Here is a 17509-nt window from a genome sequence, read left to right as displayed (position 1 = left end):
GGCGGGGGAGGCCGCGGTCGGTCTCAGTCGCCGCTGCCAGCTCTCGCACTCTGTTCTTCCGCCGCTCCGCCGTCGCGTTTCTCTGCCGGTGAGCGCCCCGCCCCGGGGCCTGAGCTGGACGTCGCAGGCCTGCGCCCCCCGACCCCGGCTGGCCCCGCTTCCAGCTGCCGAGGCCTCGTCGCGCCTTCCCCGGGAACAAAAGGCGGGGTGGGCCGGGTCAGGCGGACGGGGCTGGGGGGGCGCCGGGGGTCCAGGGCGGGGCCCGGCCGCAGTGCAGACTTCCGAGCCGTGGACGTTACGTAAAAGGCCCGGCCTTCGGTTCCAGGCGGTTGCGATCTTGGAGGCCACGGCCGCTGGGGTTGGGGCAGGGCCGAGGCTTCCCCGCGGGAGGGCATTAGGTGGCTGTGGGGAGGGGACCGTGTTACAGACGCGCCCGCCTGAGTCCATCCTTTTCCGGGCAGGTCGCAATGGAAGAAGAGATCGCCGCGCTGGTCATTGACAATGGCTCCGGCATGTGCAAAGCTGGTTTTGCTGGGGACGACGCTCCCCGAGCCGTGTTTCCTTCCATCGTCGGGCGCCCCAGACACCAGGTGAGTGGATGGCGCCGCGGGGCTCCTGGGTTCTGCGTTGCGGGGTGGGTTCGGTGTCGCCGGCGAGGCTGACGGGTCGTCCCCTGCAGGGCGTCATGGTGGGCATGGGCCAGAAGGACTCCTACGTGGGCGACGAGGCCCAGAGCAAGCGTGGCATCCTGACCCTGAAGTACCCCATTGAGCATGGCATCGTCACCAACTGGGACGACATGGAGAAGATCTGGCACCACACCTTCTACAACGAGCTGCGCGTGGCCCCGGAGGAGCACCCAGTGCTGCTGACCGAGGCCCCCCTGAACCCCAAGGCCAACAGAGAGAAGATGACTCAGGTGAGGCTCGGCCGACGCCCGTGCTCCTCCCGTCCTTTCCCCAGTCATTTTCTGCCCGGCTTGATTTCTGACATTTAAGTGTTTCTTTCGCTGTTCCAGGCTCTGTTCCTCTCCCGGCATTTCCTCCCTGAAGCCTCCAGGTTTCTCATTTGGTTTCTGCCTGCGTTCTTTTCTTTTCTCCACACATCACACTGGCATGCAGCATGTTGTGGCGTGTGAGCATGGGGTGGCCGTGGGTCTCTGTCCCTGACTAAGCCGCCCCTTGTCCCTTCTCAGATTATGTTTGAGACCTTCAACACCCCGGCCATGTACGTGGCCATCCAGGCCGTGCTGTCCCTCTACGCCTCTGGGCGCACCACTGGCATTGTCATGGACTCTGGAGACGGGGTCACCCACACGGTGCCCATCTACGAGGGCTACGCCCTCCCCCACGCCATCCTGCGTCTGGACCTGGCTGGCCGGGACCTGACCGACTACCTCATGAAGATCCTCACTGAGCGAGGCTACAGCTTCACCACCACGGCCGAGCGGGAAATCGTGCGCGACATCAAGGAGAAGCTGTGCTACGTCGCCCTGGACTTCGAGCAGGAGATGGCCACCGCCGCATCCTCCTCTTCTCTGGAGAAGAGCTACGAGCTGCCCGATGGCCAGGTCATCACCATTGGCAATGAGCGGTTCCGGTGTCCGGAGGCGCTGTTCCAGCCTTCCTTCCTGGGTAGGTGTTGTGAGCTAAAGGTTTCTACTCTTACATCCTCGGTGACACAGCATCACTAAGGGAGGGCTCTGTCCCCTAGGTATGGAATCTTGCGGCATCCACGAGACCACCTTCAACTCCATCATGAAGTGTGACGTGGACATCCGCAAAGACCTGTACGCCAACACGGTGCTGTCGGGCGGCACCACCATGTACCCGGGCATTGCCGACAGGATGCAGAAGGAGATCACCGCCCTGGCGCCCAGCACCATGAAGATCAAGGTGAGTCGAGGGGTTGGTGGCCCTCTGCCTGGCTCGGGAGAGCTGACTGGGGGGCGCTCTGTGAGCTGAAGCCGTGCCTGGCTGTCTTTGCAGATCATCGCACCCCCAGAGCGCAAGTACTCGGTGTGGATCGGTGGCTCCATCCTGGCCTCACTGTCCACCTTCCAGCAGATGTGGATTAGCAAGCAGGAGTACGACGAGTCGGGCCCCTCCATCGTCCACCGCAAATGCTTCTAAACGGACTCAGCAGATGCGTAGCATTTGCTGCATGGGTTAATTGAGAATAGAAATTTGCCCCTGGCAAATGCACACACCTCATGCTAGCCTCACGAAACTGGAATAAGCCTTCGAAAAGAAATTGTCCTTGAAGCTTGTATCTGATATCAGCACTGGATTGTAGAACTTGTTGCTGATTTTGACCTTGTATTGAAGTTAACTGTTCCCCTTGGTATTTGTTTAATACCCTGTACATATCTTTGAGTTCAACCTTTAGTACGTGTGGCTTGGTCACTTCGTGGCTAAGGTAAGAACGTGCTTGTGGAAGACAAGTCTGTGGCTTGGTGAGTCTGTGTGGCCAGCAGCCTCTGATCTGTGCAGGGTATTAACGTGTCAGGGCTGAGTGTTCTGGGATTTCTCTAGAGGCTGGCAAGAACCAGTTGTTTTGTCTTGCGGGTCTGTCAGGGTTGGAAAGTCCAAGCCGTAGGACCCAGTTTCCTTTCTTAGCTGATGTCTTTGGCCAGAACACCGTGGGCTGTTACTTGCTTTGAGTTGGAAGCGGTTTGCATTTACGCCTGTAAATGTATTCATTCTTAATTTATGTAAGGTTTTTTTTGTACGCAATTCTCGATTCTTTGAAGAGATGACAACAAATTTTGGTTTTCTACTGTTATGTGAGAACATTAGGCCCCAGCAACACGTCATTGTGTAAGGAAAAATAAAAGTGCTGCCGTAACCAATGAATGGCTCCTGTTTGGGGAAGTAGCAAGTGGGCTGGGAAAGACAGACCAACCTGGAAGTATTGGGTAGTCTTGGGGGTGGGGGCGGTGGGTGCTGCTCAGCTTGGCTTCGTGGGCTGGTGAGAAAACGGCTTAACAATAAACTGAGCAGTTCGATTTCTTCCAAATCGAAAGTGCAAGAACAAGGCAGCCTAGTGGGTTTGGGTGTTGGAGATAACTGAAGCAACATCATAAGCAGGCTGGGAGGGAAGTCCTGAGACGGCTTTTTCCATTATTTAGGAAAAACTAGATGACTTGACATCTTGGGTAAATATTTGGCATAAAATAACCACCTGAATCAGCAGGGGCCTGCCTTAGTTTCCCCCCAGCCCTCAGGTGGACGTGTGATATGAGATAGTTTTACTTTGTGTAAAGAGCGCAGCAGTCATGGAGTTGGCTAGTTACTGAATCCTGGAACTCAGTATCTACCAATAACGAGGGCCTCACCTGGTGTAAGAGGCTCAGCCAGTGCCCTTTGTACTTCAGCTTTTCTCCCCGCAGGTGCCAGGGGAGAGCCTCTGTAGATGGGATTGGGAGTCCAATGCATAGCTCCTCTGAACTGCTTACAGCTGCAGAAGTCATTTGGAGGTTGGGACAGGGAAGGAAGATCTCTACCAGTTGAAAAGAGATTTGGAACTATTTCATGTTAAGTCGGGTCAAGGGATCGTTCTGCTGTTGGAAGAGATTTTACTCAAGCAGAGGTGGTGGTGCTTCCTAGCTCCCCCTCCCATATGGGGATGGGGGAGAGGAGGCTCAAGCTTGGTGGGGGTCGGGGTGGAGGCAAACATAAATTGCAGAGAGCTTACTGAGCTCCAGGCTCCCACCCTACCTTGTTCTGTGACCTCACATCACAGCATGACTCTTCTCAGCGACTCTGATACCTGCAAAAGATAGAAATTCTCTTTGTCCTGTGAAGCATTGCACTTACAGGACAAACTGTGAGATGCTCATGGACACTGGGCATCAGCAAATGCACATTAAAACAAATTAGATGCCAGTTTGTGGCTATCAGATGAGCAGAAATCAGGAGATGGGTAGTTCTGAGCACTGGCCAGGGCATGGGGACCAGGGACAGTCACGCACTCTCGAAGCGTTGAAAGCTGCAGCTCTTCCGGAACTGCCCAGTGCAGGTTCCCTGGGCAACTTGGCAAGACCTTGTCTCTACAAATTTTTTTTTTTGAAACGCAGTTTCCCTCTGTTGCCCAAGCTGGAGTCCAATGGTGTGATCTTGGCTCACACCACAACCTCCGCCTCCTGGGTTCAAGCGATTGTCTTGCCTCAGCCTCCCGAGTAGCTGGGATTACAGGCATGCGCCACCACACCTAGCTAATTTTGTATTTTTAGTAGAGGCGGGGTTTCTCCATGTTGCTCGGGCTGATCTTGAACTCCCAACCGCAGGTGATTTGCTTGCCTTGGCCTCCCAAAGTGCTGGGATTACAGACGTGAGCCACCGCACCCAGCCAATTTTTTTTTTTTTTTTTTTGACATGGGGTCTTGCTCTGTCACCTAGGCTGGAGTGCAGTGGTGTGATCTCAGCTCACTGCAAGCTCCACCTCCCGGGTTCATGCCATTCTCCTGCCTCAGCCTCCCCAGCAGCTGGTACTACAAGTGCCCACCACCACACCTAGCTAATCTTTTCATATTTTTTAGTAGAGACGGGGTTTCACCGTGTTAGCCAGGATGGTCTCAATCTCCTGACCTCGTGATCTGCCCGCCTCAGCCTCCCAAGGTGCTGGGATTACATGTGTGAGCCAGCATGCCTGGCCCCAATTTTTTTTTTATTAGCTGAGCATGGTGGTGGCCTGCCTGTGGTCCCAGCTACTCAGGAGGCTGAGGAGAAAGGATCTCTTGATAGGAGTTTGAGGTTTGAGACTGCAGTGAGCTGTGATTGAGCCACTGCACTCTAGTCTGGGTGACACAGTGAGACCCTATCTCAAAAACAAACAAAAAAACCCCAAACCCCACAAAATTATGTCTGATAAGGATCTAGTATCCACAATATGTAAAGAACGCCTACAAATCAACAACAAAAAGAACCCAATTTAAAAATGAGCAAAGGACTTTATTTTCTCCCAAGCAGATATACACATGGCCAACCGGGAGATGAAAAAGATACTCAACATCATCAGGGGATCATTAGGGAAGTGCAAATCAAAATAACAGTGAGATATCACTTCACATCCAGTAGGATGGCCACAAAAAATAAAAAAAAAAAAAAAGGAAAATAGTGACAGTGAGGGCATGATGGCTCACACCTGTAATCCCAACACTTTGGGAGCCTTAGGCAGGCAGATCGCTTGAGCCCAGGAGTCCAAAACCAGCCTGGGCAACATGGCAAAATCCCACAACAAAAGATACAAAAAATTAGCCTGTCCTGGTGGCACACGCTTGTAGTAACCCAGCTACTCAGAAGGGTGAGGTGGGAGGATCACTTGAACCTGGGGAGATTGAGGTTGCAGTCAGCTGTGATTGAGCCACTGCACTCCAGCCTGGATGACAGAGCAAGACCCTGTCTCAAAAAAAAAAAAACAAAAAAAAAAACTGCTGGGAGCAGTGGCTCACACCTGTAATCCCAGCACTTTGGGAGGCTGAGGCTGGCAGATCACGAGGTCAGGAGAACAAGACCATCCTGGCTCTGTCATCCAGGCTGGAGTGCAGTGGTGCAATCTCAGCTCACTGCAGCATCTGCCTCCTGGGTTCAAGCGATTCTCTTGCCTCAGCTTCTCAAGTAGCTGGGATTATAGGTGTGTGCCACCACACCCAGCTGATTTTTGTATTTTTAATACAAACAGAATTTCGATACGTTGGCCAGGCTGGTCTTGAACTCCTGACCTCAGGTGATCCACCCTCCTTGGCCTCCTAAAGTGCTGGGATTACAGGCGTGAGCCACCGCACCCAGCCAATTGTACACTTTTTTTTGAGACAGAGTCTTGCTCTGTTGCCAGGCTGGAGTGCAGTGGTGTGATCTCGGCTCACTGCAACCTCTGGCCCCTGGGTTCAAGCGATTCTCCTGCCTCAGCCTCCCGAGTAGCTGGGACTACAGGCGTGTGCCTGTGTACCTGGTTAATTTTTGTATTTTTAGTAGAGACGGGGTTTCACCATGTTGGCCGGAATGGTCTTGATCCCCTGACCTCAGGTGATCTGCCTGCCTCGGCCTCCCAAAGTGCTGGGATCACAGGTGTGAGCCACTGCGCCTGGCCTGTACACTTTTAAACGATTAAAATGGTAACTTTTATGTTCCATATTTCTTTTTCTTTTTCTTTCTTTTTTTTTTCTTTTTTGAGATGGAGTGTCGCTCTTGTTGCCCAATTGGAGTGCAATGGCGCAATCTCAGCTCACCACAACCTCCACCTCCTGGGTTCAAGCGATTCTCCTGCCTCAGCCTCCCAAGTAGCTGGGATTACAGGCATGCGCCACCGCGCCCAGCTAATTTTGTATTTTCGGTAGAGATGGGGTTTCTCCATGTTGGTCAGTCTGGTCTCAAACTCCTGACCTCAGGTGATCCGTCCACCTCGGCCTCCCAAAGTGCTGGGATTACAGGCATGAGCCACCGCGCCCGGCTGCAACAGCAATATATTGACTCAGAGGAGGACAGGTGCTGCTGAAAGGGGCTGAGAGAATCTGATCCTGGCTCAGCACAGCTGGGGATTGGCCTCCTCCATGGCCTTTTGTTTGTTTGCTTTTGTGTTTTTTTTGGAGACAGCATCTCACTATGTTGCCCAGGCTGAACTCCTGGACTCAATGGTCCTCCTGCTTAGGCCTCCCAAAGTGCTGGGATTACAGGCATGAGCCACTGCACCCAGCCTAGGACTCTTTTTGAAAAAACAACCACAAGCTGGGCGCGGTGGCTCATTCCTGTAATCCCACCACTTTGGGAAGCCGAGACGGGCGGATCACGAGGTCAGGAGTTCAAGACCAGCCTGGCCAACATGGTGAAACCCATCTCTACTAAAAATACAAAAATTAGCCAGGCATGGTGGCGTGCGCCTGTAATCCCAGCTATTCCAGAGGCTGAGGCAGGAGAATTGCTTGAACCCACATGGCAGAGGTTGCAGTGAGCCGAGATTGAGCCACTGCACTCCAGCCTGGGTGACAGAGCAAGACTCTATCTCAAAAAAAAAAAAAAAAAAAAAAAAATCACAGTATCATGCCCCCACCCACCAATTATTGATCGATACTTAGTATCATCTAATGTCCAAATTTCCTTGGTTGTCTTAAATTTTTTGTTGTTGTTTTGTTTGTCTGTTTTTTTGGGGGGACAGGGTCTTGCTTTGTTGCCCAGGCTAGAGTGCAGTGGCACAATCACAGCTCACTGCAGCCTCGACTTCCTAGGCTCAAGCAATCCTCCCACCTCAGCCGCTTGAGTAGCTGGGACTACAGGCGTGCACCACCATGCCCAGATAATTTTTAAACTTTCTGTAGAGATGGGGTCTCCCTATGTTGCTTAGGCTGGTCTCAAGCTCCTGGTCTCAAGAGATCCTCTCACCTCAGCCTCCTAAAATGTGGCGATTACAGGTGTGAGCCACCATGCCCAGCCTTAAATTTCTTTCTTTTTTTTTTTTGAGACGGAGTCTCACTCTGTCACCCGGGCTGGAGTGCAGTGGTGTGATCTCGGCTCGCTGCAAGCTCCGCCTCCTGGGTTCATGCCATTCTCCTGCCTCAGCCTCCCGAGTAGCTGGGACTACAGGCGCCCACCACCACGCCCGGCTGGTGTATTTTTAGTAGAGACGGGGTATTTTTTTTGTATTTTTTTGTATTTTTTTTGTATTTTTAGTAGAGACGGGGTTTCACCGTGTTGGCCAGGATGGTCTCGATCTCCTGACCTCGTGATCCACCCGCCTCGGCCCCCCAAAGTGCTGGGATTACAGGCGTGAGCCACCGCGACCCACCTAAATTTCTTTTAACGGTTGGTTTCCAATCATTGCACTTGGCCACTATGTCTCTTAAATCTCTTTTAACCGCGGGATTTACCCTCTTTCATTTTTCTCCTTTCAGGTTATTTGTGGAAGAAGGCAGGTCTTTTGTTCCAAAGGGTTCCACCTGTCTGGATTTTGCTGATTTCGTCCTTGTGGTTGATGTGGCACGTTCCTCAACCCTTATATTTCCTATAGTCAGTTAGCTCTAGGTGTAAATGTCCAAACTGGTCTGTTTAATCTCATTCAGGTTGATTTTTTTAGCAAGAAGATGACCACAGGGTGGGTGCAACTTCATGGAGAGGGAAAGAGTCCCACAGAGCCTGATGTTGTGATATTAGCAGCCATTGGAAATCCCTGCCAGGACCTGCTATTTCATTAGTGGTTACAAATTATTCTCCCCCTCCACTCCCCTCCCCTCCCTCTTTTCTCCTCTCCTCCTCTCCCTCCCTCCCTCCTTCTCTCCTTCCCTCCTTCCCTCCCTCCCTTTCTTTTTTGATGGAGTCTCACTCTCTCGCCGCTGGAGTGCGGCCTCCGCCTCCAGTTTCCAGCAATTCTCCTGCCTCAGCCTCCTGAGTAGCTGGGACTATAGGCGCCCACCACCACGCCTGGCTAATTTTTTTTTTGTATTTTTAGTAGAGATGGGATTTCACCGTGTTAGCCAGGATGGTCTTGATCTCCTGACCTCGTGATCTGCCTGTCTCGGCCTCCCAGAGTGCTGGGATTACAGGCGTGAGCCACTGCGCCTGGCCTATTTCTTTCTTTTTTTTAATGGAGTTTTGCTCTTGTTGCCCAGACTGGAGTCCGGTGGTGTGATCTCGGCTCACTGTAACCTCCACCTTCTGGGTTCAAGCGATTCTCCTGCCTCAGCTTCCCAAGTAGCTGGGATTATAGGTGCCCACCACCATGCCCCACTAATTTTTGTATTTTCTGTAGAGCCAGGGTTTCACCATGTTGGTTGGCCAGGCTGGTCTTGAACTTCTGACCTCAGGTGATCTGCCCACCTTGGCCTTCCAAAGTGCTGGGATTACAGGCATGAGGCACTGCACCTGGCCTTTTCTTTTCTTTTCTTCTTTTCTTTCCCTTTCTCCCTCCCTTTCTTCTCCCTTCCTTCCTTCCTTCCCTTCTTTCTTTCCCTCCCTCCCTCCCTTCTTTCTTTTTCTTTTTTCTTTCTTTCCTTTTTTCTCTCTTTCTTTTCTTTCTCCTCTTTCTTTCTTGCTTGCTTTCTTTCTTGCTTGCTTTCCTTCTTCCTTTCCTCTTTCCTTTCTTTCTTTCTTTTCTTCTTTCCAGGGTCTTGCTCTGTCACCCTGGCTGGAGTGCAGTGGCAATAGAGGCTCACTGTAGCCTTGACCTCAGGGGCTCAAGCAATCCTCCCACCTCAGTCTCCCTAGTAGCTAGGACCAGCACGCCTGGTTAATGGTTTTCTAATTCTATCCTTCCTTTTTTTTCTTTTTGAGATGGAGTCTCGCTCTGTCGCCCAGGCTGGGGTGCAGGGGCGCGATCTCGGCTCACTACAAGTTCCGCCTCCTGGGTTCACACCATTCTCCTGCCTCAGCCTCCCGAGTAGCTGGGACCACAGGCGCCCGCCACCACGCCTGGCTAATTTTTTGTATTTTTACTAGAGACGGGGTTTCACAGTGTTAGCCAGGATGGTCTCGATCTCCTGACCTCGTGATCCGCCCGCCTCGGCCTCCCAAAGTGCTGGGATTACAGGTGTAAGCCACCGCGCCCAGCCTGTTTTCAATATCTTAAATGCCATTCAGCTTAGTTAACAGAAACTTCTGGAAGGGATGCCTGCTCTGAGAAGTGTCACACGTGCTGGGGGACTTCAGGGCACTCCTGAAAGGGCTCCCCTTCCCCAGGATCCCTGGGTCCTGATGGTAGGCAGAGGTGGAGGATGTTCTCCAAGCCGAGCCTTCCTGCAGCTTTCAGAGCCTGTCCACACCACCGGCATCCCTCTACCCAGACCAATTTTCCCCGGCAGGAGATGGACATTGTGTTTATTGGATGCAATTTCAAACCCCTTTCATGTTTTCATAGAGGATGGAGACCAAGGGGGAAGTTCAGTGGTTCACGTTGGCAAATCCTGGCTCCGATGACTGAGAGATTTTCTGACTTACAGGACCCTTGCTTGGTTGGAGGTGGGTCCTAAACATCAGAGCCAGAGACAGCTGTGGGCAGGTGTTTTCCTCTGTGCAGCACGTGGGCCAAGTGCTGGGGCTGCCTGCTGTACACAGAGCACCTCGTGGCCTCCCATGGCTCCCTTCAGCTATGCTTGGCCTGCCCGCCTGCTGGTGGTCGTTTGGAATCCTTTCCTGCTGGAAAGGATGTGTCCCCGTGCTGTCCAGCTCCCTGCTGGCGGCCCTTCTCAGGGTGCCCTCCAGAGAGGACTGCCGTGGTGCATACTTCACACATGATGCAGCATCATGGTCTATGTGAATGGCATCCCCTGCAGTTGTGCAGTGCACCACCTGTGCAGCCGTCCACAGCATCCCCACACAGCCCAGTCCTCTCCCGGGAAGCACGCCTTCCTCCACTTCCACCCTCTGTTACTCGTCCATCTCCCTCCCCGATATGCAGGATTAAAAAAAAATTTCTTTCTTTTTTTTTTTTTTTTTTTTTTGAGACAGAGTTTTTGCTCTGTTGCCCAGGCTGGAATGCAATAGTGCAGTCTCAGCTCACTGCAACCTCTGCCTCCTGGGTTCAAGCGATTCTCCTGCCTCAGCCTCCCAAGTGGCTGGGATTACAGGCATCCACCACCACACCCAGATAATTTTTATATTTTTAGTAGAGATGGGGTTTCACCATGTTGGCCAGGCTGGTCTTGAACTCGTGACCTCAGTTGATCCACCCTCCTTGGCCTCCCAAAGTGCTAGGATTACAGGTGTGAGCCACCACGCCCAGCCCCCCAAAAAATTTGTTTTAGATTATGGTAAAACATGCATAACACAAAATTGATCATTTTAATGGTGTTGAAGTGTACAGTCATTACGTCACAAAGCTGTGCCTCTATTACCACATGTTCAGAATTCTTTCATCTTCCCAAACTGAAACTCTACAACTATTTTCTTTTATTTTTTTGAGACGGAGTCTTGCTCTGTCACTAGGCTGCAGTGCAGTGGCACGATCTCGGCTCACTGCAACCTCCGCCTCCCGGGTTCAAGGGATTCTCCTGCCTCAGCCTCCCAAGTAGCTGGGACTACAGGCATGCACCAACACATCTGGCTACTTTTTGTATTTTTAGTAGAGACAGGGTTTCACCATGTTGGCCAGGCTGGTCTCAAACTCCTGACCTCAGGCAATCCTCCCACCTCGGCCTCCCAAAGTACTGGAATTACAGGCGTGAGCCACCATGCCGACTGAAACTCTATATCTATTAAACAACAATTTTCTTCCTTTTTTTTTTTTTTCTTTTTTTGGACAGGGTCTTGCAGTGTAACATAAGCCATAGTGAACTGGCATAATCACAGTTGACCACAGCCTCAACCTCCCTGACTCCAGCAATCTGCCCATCTCAGCCTCTGGAGTAGCTGGGACCACAGGCGTGTGCCACCACGCCTGGCTAATTTAATTTATTTACTTTTATTTATTTATTTTTTAGAGACAGGGTCTCACTTTGTTGCCCATGCTGAAGTGCAGTGGTGCAAGCTCAGTCACTGGCTGGGCTCAGGTGATCTTCCCACCTCGGCCTCCTGAGTAGCTGGGAATACAGGTGCATGCCACCAAGCCCGGCTAATTTTTTGGTATTTTTAGGAAAGACGAGGTTTCACCGTATCACTCAGGCTGGTCTCGAGCTCCTGAACTCAAGCAATCTGCCTGCCTTGGACTCCCAAAGTGCTGAGACTACAGGCATGAGCCACTGCGCCCGGCCAATTTTATTTATTTATTTATTTTATAGAGATGGGGTCTTGCCATGTTGCCCAGGCTGGTCTCCAACTCTTGGGCTCAACCAGTCCTTCTGCCTCTGCCTTCCAAAGTGTTGGTGTTGGGATTACAGATGTGAGCCACCACACCTTCCTTCCTTTTTTTTTTTTTTGAGACAGATTCTCCATCATCCAGGCTGGAGTGCAGTGGCGTGATCTCAGGCTCACTGCAACCTCTGTCTCTCTTTTTTTTTTTTTTTTTTTTTTTTTTGAGATGGAGTGTCACTCTGTTGCCAAGGCTGGAGTGCAGTGGCACGATCTCGGCTCACTGCTACCTCCGCCTCCCGGATTCAAGTGATTCTCCTGCCTCAGCCTCCTGAGTAGCTGGGACTACAGGTGCCCACCACCACATCTGGATAATTTTTGTATTTTTAGAAGAGCCGGGGTTTCACCATGTTGGCCAGGCTGGTCTCCAACTCCTGACCTCAAGTGATCCACCTGCCTCACCCTCTGGGTTGGGATTACAGGCGTGAGCCACCGTGCCTGGCCCTTCCTTTTTAAAGCTGAGAAATACTGCAGTATATGTCTATACTACATTCTGCTTGTGAAGTATGTGTTCCAGGGCCTGCCTGCAGTTCTCTGGGGTCTGTGGCCGGCGTGGACTGCTGGTCATAGGGTCATTCTGTGCACCTTTCTGAGGAACCAACAGTTCTCCACAGCAGCTGCCTCATCTTGCATTCCCATCGGCAGTGGACAAGAGTTCCAGTTGCTTCACATCCTCAGTGGCACTTGTTTTCTATATTTTGGATAATTGCCACCCTGGCGGGTGTGCTGCAAGCCCCTGAGGACAGGCTGACCTGCTCACCGGGCCACCCACCCCTCATCCGGGACCTACCAGGCTCAGATGGAGCCTCCCAGGAAATAGCTGAGATTCCTCTGAACGAACAAACAGACTCCATGCAGCCTTTCAGGCTCTTAAGACCCAGCTGCCCAGGGACACACTTAGCTTGGAGTTTAGGGAGCAGAACAGAACAGGAAGGGACAGGAGGCCTGTCTGCCCCCTGGCAGGACGGGTGGTCCAGAGGAGCCCGGGACCTTCAGGCATGGAGGCCTACCTAGGATAAACGGATACCTGGGCTCAACCCACTTGGAGAACTTCAGCCTAGAGGGTCCCCGGCTCCAGAACCTGCAGCCAGGGTGGCAGGGCTGTTGGCAGCCTGGCTTCCCTACCAGTGCCCGAGGGGCTCTGCTCCTCCCACGGCGGTTCCCCAGACAGATGCTCAGAAGAAAGCCAATGCATGCCCCAGCTGTGGCTCAGCAGTGGGGTCTCCACCTCCGAGGCCCAACAGAGGCCCTCCCTGTCCTCTCGCCATGGCCCCCTGCTGCTCCTCACTGCCTAGGGTGGCCTGGACCTGGTCGCCCAGGCAAGCGTCCAGCTTCTCTCCTGGGGCGGAGGGTCGGGGGACTGAGGGGTGATGTCTGTCCGAGCTGGGCTCCCACACTGGGGCTCATCCCGTGGGACCCCCACTTTGCATGGCCGAGGGCTGGAGGGGCTACGAGGCCCGCGGGATCAGAGTCGGCCTGGGTCCCAGCCAAGGCCCATTTCCCGACTCTCCTGGCCCGGGTCGGCACCCGGATTTGTGGCGTCCCCTCCCCTCGTGGCTGCAGGACCGCAGGGCTGCCTGGGGAGGCCTGGCCAGGCCCTGCCCTCTCTGGGCTGCTCCCTCCCCAGATCCTGGACACGTCCAGCTCAGCTCCGTGGCGCTAATAAGCCCCTAGCCGGGGTGCGGCAGGCGGGGGTCACAGAGAAGCTGCGGGGCTGGGCGTGGGCAGAGCGCGGCGCGGGCGCGAAGCAAGAGGAGCCGCAGATGGCCGGGGCGCGGGGCCGTAGAGCGGGGAGCAGGGCCGGGGCGCTGTCCCGGGCGAGGCGGGGCCGGCAGCGAGGACGTTGGCGCCACGCCCGCGCGTGCCCGTGCCTTGGTTTCCCCAGAGCGAGGCCGACGTCAGGCTGCGAGCTGGTCGCAGGGGAAAGCCCCGATCTCAACCCCCTCTGTCGCTGCGGCACCGCCTGGTCCATCGGCTGACCGCCTCCGCCCTGGAAGGCGCACGGGCTCTGACCCCCGAGGGCTCCAGCCCCCTGCCCTGGGCTCCCATCCGTGGCCCGTGAGGCCCACGCCTCCCGTGCCCAGAGGTGGGCCCTGACCCCGCCACCCCGGCAGGATGCGTGAGGCTGGTGAGGAAGCTCCAGGGACGCCTCAGCGGTGCCAGGGGCCTCAGAACTGCGGGCCACTGGCTGTGACTGTGGCACCTGGGCCGGCCCTGGTCAGAGGCTCATCCTCCGGGAGGCTGGAGCAGGCCGAGCCGCGAGGAAGATTCTGCTTGTATGCAACAGGCATAGCTTCCTTTCCTTCTTTGAAGTTGTTTCAAATTTTGAGACAGGATCTTGCTCTGTCGCCCAGCCTGGAGTGCAGTGGCAAGATCACAGCTCACTGCAGCCTCAACCTCCCAAGCTCAAGTGATCCTCCCACCTCAGCCTCCTGAATAGCTGGAACTACAGGCACATGCCACCATACCCGGTTCTTTTTTTTTTTTTTTTTTTTTGACGGAATCTCGCTCTGTCGCCCAGGCTGGGGTGCAGTGGCATGATCTCGGCTAACCGCAACCTCCACCTCTCGGGTTCAAGCGATTCTCCTGCCTCAGCCTCCCAAGTAGCTGGGATTACAGGCACACACCACCACGCCCGGCTAATTTTGTACTTTTAGTAGAGACAGTGTTTCACTATGTTGGCCAGGCTGGTCTCGAACTCCTGACCTCAGCTGATCTGCCCACTTCCGCCTCCCAAAGTGCTGGGACTGCAGGAGTGAGCCCCCGCTCCCAGCCATCCACTTTTGAGCATACAGTTGGGCACTGAGCATCTGCACTGTTGTTCAGCCAAAATCTCCAGAACTTTCATCTTGCAAAACCAAAAAGCTGTACCCATCAAACAACTCCTTCTCCTCCACCCAGCCCCCGGCAGCCACCATTTCACTTTCTGTCTGTATGAATTTAGCTGCTCTAGGTCCCTCCTACATGTGGAACTGTACAGGATTTGTCTTTTGTGACTGGCCTATTTCACTTAACGCACAGTCCTCAAGGCGGACCTGTGGTGCAGAGTGTGTTGGAATTTGAATTTCCGTGCTCTTTTTTTTTTTTTTTTTTGAGATGGAGTTTCACTTGTCAGCCAGGCTGGAGTGCAAGTGGCATGATCTCGGCTCACTGCAACCTCCGCCTCCTGGGTTCAAGCAATTCTCCTGCCTCAACCTCCCAAGTAGCTGGGACTACAGGTGTGCACCATCACGCCCGGCTACTTTTTGTGTTTTTTAAAATTAGAGATTGGGTTTCACCATATTGGCCAGGCTGGTCTCAAACTCTTGACCTCAAGCGATCCACCCGCCTCGGCCTCCCAAAGTGCTGGGAATACAGATGTGAGCCACTGTGCCCAGCCCAAGTTTTAAATTTTAATAATATCAATTCAGTTTTTTCTTTAATAGATAATGATTTTGGTGCTGTATGTAAAAACTCACGACCTGGTCAGGTGCAGTGGCTCATGCCTGTAATCCCAGCACTTTGGGAGGCCGAGATGGGTAGATCACTTGAGGTCAGGAGTTCAAGACCAGCCTGGCCAACACGGTGAAACCCCGTCTCCACTAAAAATACAAAAATTAGCCGAGTATGGTGATGAGCGCCTGTGATACTAGCTACTTGGGAGGCTGAGGCAGGAGAATTGCTTGAACCCAGGAGGCGGTGGTTTCAGTGAGCTGAGATCATGCCATTGCACTCCAGCCTGGGACACAGATTGAGACTCCATCTCAAAAAAAAAACAAAAACAAAAAACAAACAAAAAAACTCATGACCTAATTTAAGGTCATGTAGATTTTCTCCTATGTTTTGTTCTAGAACTTTTATAATTTTGCATTTTACATTTATGTCCATGGTTCATTTTTTTTTCTTTTCTTTTTTTTGAGATGGAGTCTCACTCTGTTGCCCAGGCTGGAGTGCAGTGTCACGATCTTGGCTCACTGACATAGCTGCCTCCCAGCTTCAAGCGATTCTCCTGCCTCAGCCTCCTGAGTATCTGGGATTACAGGCATGTGGCACCACAACTGGCTAATTTTTATTGTATTTTTAGCAGAAATGGGGTTTCACCATTTTGGCCAGGCTGGTCTCCAACTCTTGATCTCAAGTGATTTGCCCACCTTGGCCTTCCAAAGTGCTGGGATTACAGGCATGAGCCACTATGCCCGGCCTCCATTTTTTTTTTTCTTTTTGAGATAGGGTCTCACTCTGTCACCCAGTCTGTAGTGCAGTGGCATGATCATAGCTTACTGCAGCCTTGACCTCCTGGGCTCAAGCCTCCCCATGTAGCTGGGGCTAAAGGTGTGAGCCACCATGCTCGGTGAATTTTTAATTTTTTTGTAGAGATGGGGTCTCACCATATTGCCCAGGCTGGCCTCGAACTCTTGGTCTCAAGCAGTCCTCCCACATCAGTCTTCCAAAGTGCTGGGATTACAGGCATAAACCATTGAGCCGGGCTGCAAGCATTCTTATTTATGGCATCATTATGAACTTGTCTGGGAATGTCCACATTTTCAAAGCTCTCAGCCAACCATCTTTAGGTTTCTCCCAGGTATTTTCATTTTAAGGCTTTTCCTAATTTTCAAGGGGAAGTTTTTTTAAATAGGAGGAATTTTCCAAACATTCCTGCCAAGTAATTTCAAATGAGGCAGGTTTGCACAACTGGCTTGTTGCTTTCAATAAATAATACCTTGTAAGACTTTGCCAAGACAACTACAGGTATATCCTAATCTTTCCATTTGCCATTAGAACTTAAGTTTTTTCCCCGGGTTATTAAATATTCATTGTAGGATGGCTGGACTGAGATTCACTTACTCTCCTCATTGGACAAGTCAGTTGCTGCCACATGATTGGGTTATAATCAACTCTGTCATGATGACATGAGTGTTAAAGGGTTCCCACCACTCCAGCCACTACCTTTTTTTTTTTTTTTTAAGAGATGGGGGTCTCAGTGTGTTGCCCAGGCTGGAGTGCAGTGGTGCAATCATAGCTCACTGCAGCTTTGGCCTCCAGGGTTGAAGCCATCCTCCCACCTCAGCCTCCCAAGTAGCTGGGACTGCAGGCATGATCCACACTGCCTGGCTAATTTTTACACTTTTTGTAGAAACGGGGTTTCACCCTGTTGCCCAGGCTGGTCTTGAACACCTGGGTTCAAGTGATCCGCTGGCCTCGGCCTCCCAAAATGCTGGGATTACAGGCGTCCACCACGCCTAGCCCCTACCACCATCTTTTTTTTTTTTTTTTTTTTTTTGAGATGGAGTTTCGCTCTTTTTCCCCAGGCTGCAGTGCAATGGTGCCATCTCGGCTCACTGCAACCTCCGCCTCCCAGGTTCAAGCGATTCTCCTGCCTCAGCCTCCCGAGTAGCTGGGATTACCAGCATGTGCCACCATGCCTGGCTAATTTTGTATTTTTTAGTAGAGACAGGGTTTCTCCATGGTGGCTAGGCTGGTCTCGAACTCCCAACCTCAGGTGATCGGCCTGCCTCAGGCTCCCAATGTGCTGGGATTACAGGAGTGAGCCACCTTGCCTGGCAGCCCCTACTACGATTTTAAGAGAGATTATCTAAAATGAAATTACTGGGTGACAGGCTATAGCCTTTTTTAGGCTGCTCATATGTATTGCCACATTACTTTCCAAAAAGTTGTGCCAGCTTATGCTCCCTGCATGTATAAAGAATCTCCTTCTCACCTAAAGTTAATCTCCAGTTTGCAAAGCAGGACTCATCTTT

General features: G+C 52.4%; 1 protein-coding gene across 3 annotated transcripts, besides 3 other annotated features; it reads left to right on the top strand.

The window, feature by feature from the left end:
* ACTG1 (actin gamma 1) lies at positions 23–2851 on the top strand. 3 transcript variants are annotated; one of them, NR_037688.3, is made up of 7 exons: positions 23–88; positions 462–590; positions 680–919; positions 1196–1634; positions 1714–1895; positions 1989–2343; positions 2493–2851. NR_037688.3 is itself a non-coding variant. In NM_001614.5 (6 exons), exons 2-6 carry the CDS (start codon positions 468–470, stop codon positions 2130–2132), a joined length of 1128 nt encoding a protein of 375 aa, NP_001605.1. In that variant the 5' UTR covers positions 23–88; positions 462–467; the 3' UTR covers positions 2133–2851. The 3 variants fall into 3 exon arrangements, 2 of the variants coding, with proteins under 2 accessions (NP_001605.1, NP_001186883.1); NM_001614.5 differs by having other exon boundaries at positions 1989–2851; NM_001199954.3 differs by having other exon boundaries at positions 23–207; positions 1989–2851.
* Positions 98–267: a silencer, noted in NCBI's record as "silent region_9128". NCBI's record gives its function as "represses an Ori minimal core promoter by ATAC-STARR-seq in GM12878 lymphoblastoid cells {active_cell/tissue: GM12878}" and the evidence as "EXISTENCE:reporter gene assay evidence [ECO:0000049][PMID:35858748]".
* Positions 488–577: an enhancer, noted in NCBI's record as "active region_12964". NCBI's record gives its function as "activates an Ori minimal core promoter by ATAC-STARR-seq in GM12878 lymphoblastoid cells {active_cell/tissue: GM12878}" and the evidence as "EXISTENCE:reporter gene assay evidence [ECO:0000049][PMID:35858748]".
* Positions 12206–12929: an enhancer, noted in NCBI's record as "H3K4me1 hESC enhancer chr17:79466919-79467642 (GRCh37/hg19 assembly coordinates)". NCBI's record gives its function as "activates a minimal SCP1, AML or CMV promoter by ChIP-STARR-seq in primed H9 embryonic stem cells {active_cell/tissue: H9 hESC(primed)}" and the evidence as "EXISTENCE:reporter gene assay evidence [ECO:0000049][PMID:30033119]".

This window comes from Homo sapiens, chromosome 17, assembly GCF_000001405.40.
Source record: "Homo sapiens chromosome 17, GRCh38.p14 Primary Assembly".
NCBI lineage: Eukaryota > Metazoa > Chordata > Mammalia > Primates > Hominidae > Homo > Homo sapiens.
The sequence above is the reverse complement of the archived record's forward strand: the minus strand, read 5'-3'. Positions and strand labels throughout refer to the sequence as shown.

Excerpts from the sequence above, each read along its gene's own strand:
- ACTG1 (NM_001614.5), top strand. The coding sequence starts at position 468 with ATGGAAGAAGAGATCGCCGCGCTGGTCATTGACAATGGCTCCGGCATG. Across the intron at positions 1,635-1,713 it reads GTTCCAGCCTTCCTTCCTGG|GTATGGAATCTTGCGGCATC; the intron begins GTAGGTGTTGTG and ends TCTGTCCCCTAG. Across the intron at positions 1,896-1,988 it reads CCAGCACCATGAAGATCAAG|ATCATCGCACCCCCAGAGCG; the intron begins GTGAGTCGAGGG and ends CTGTCTTTGCAG.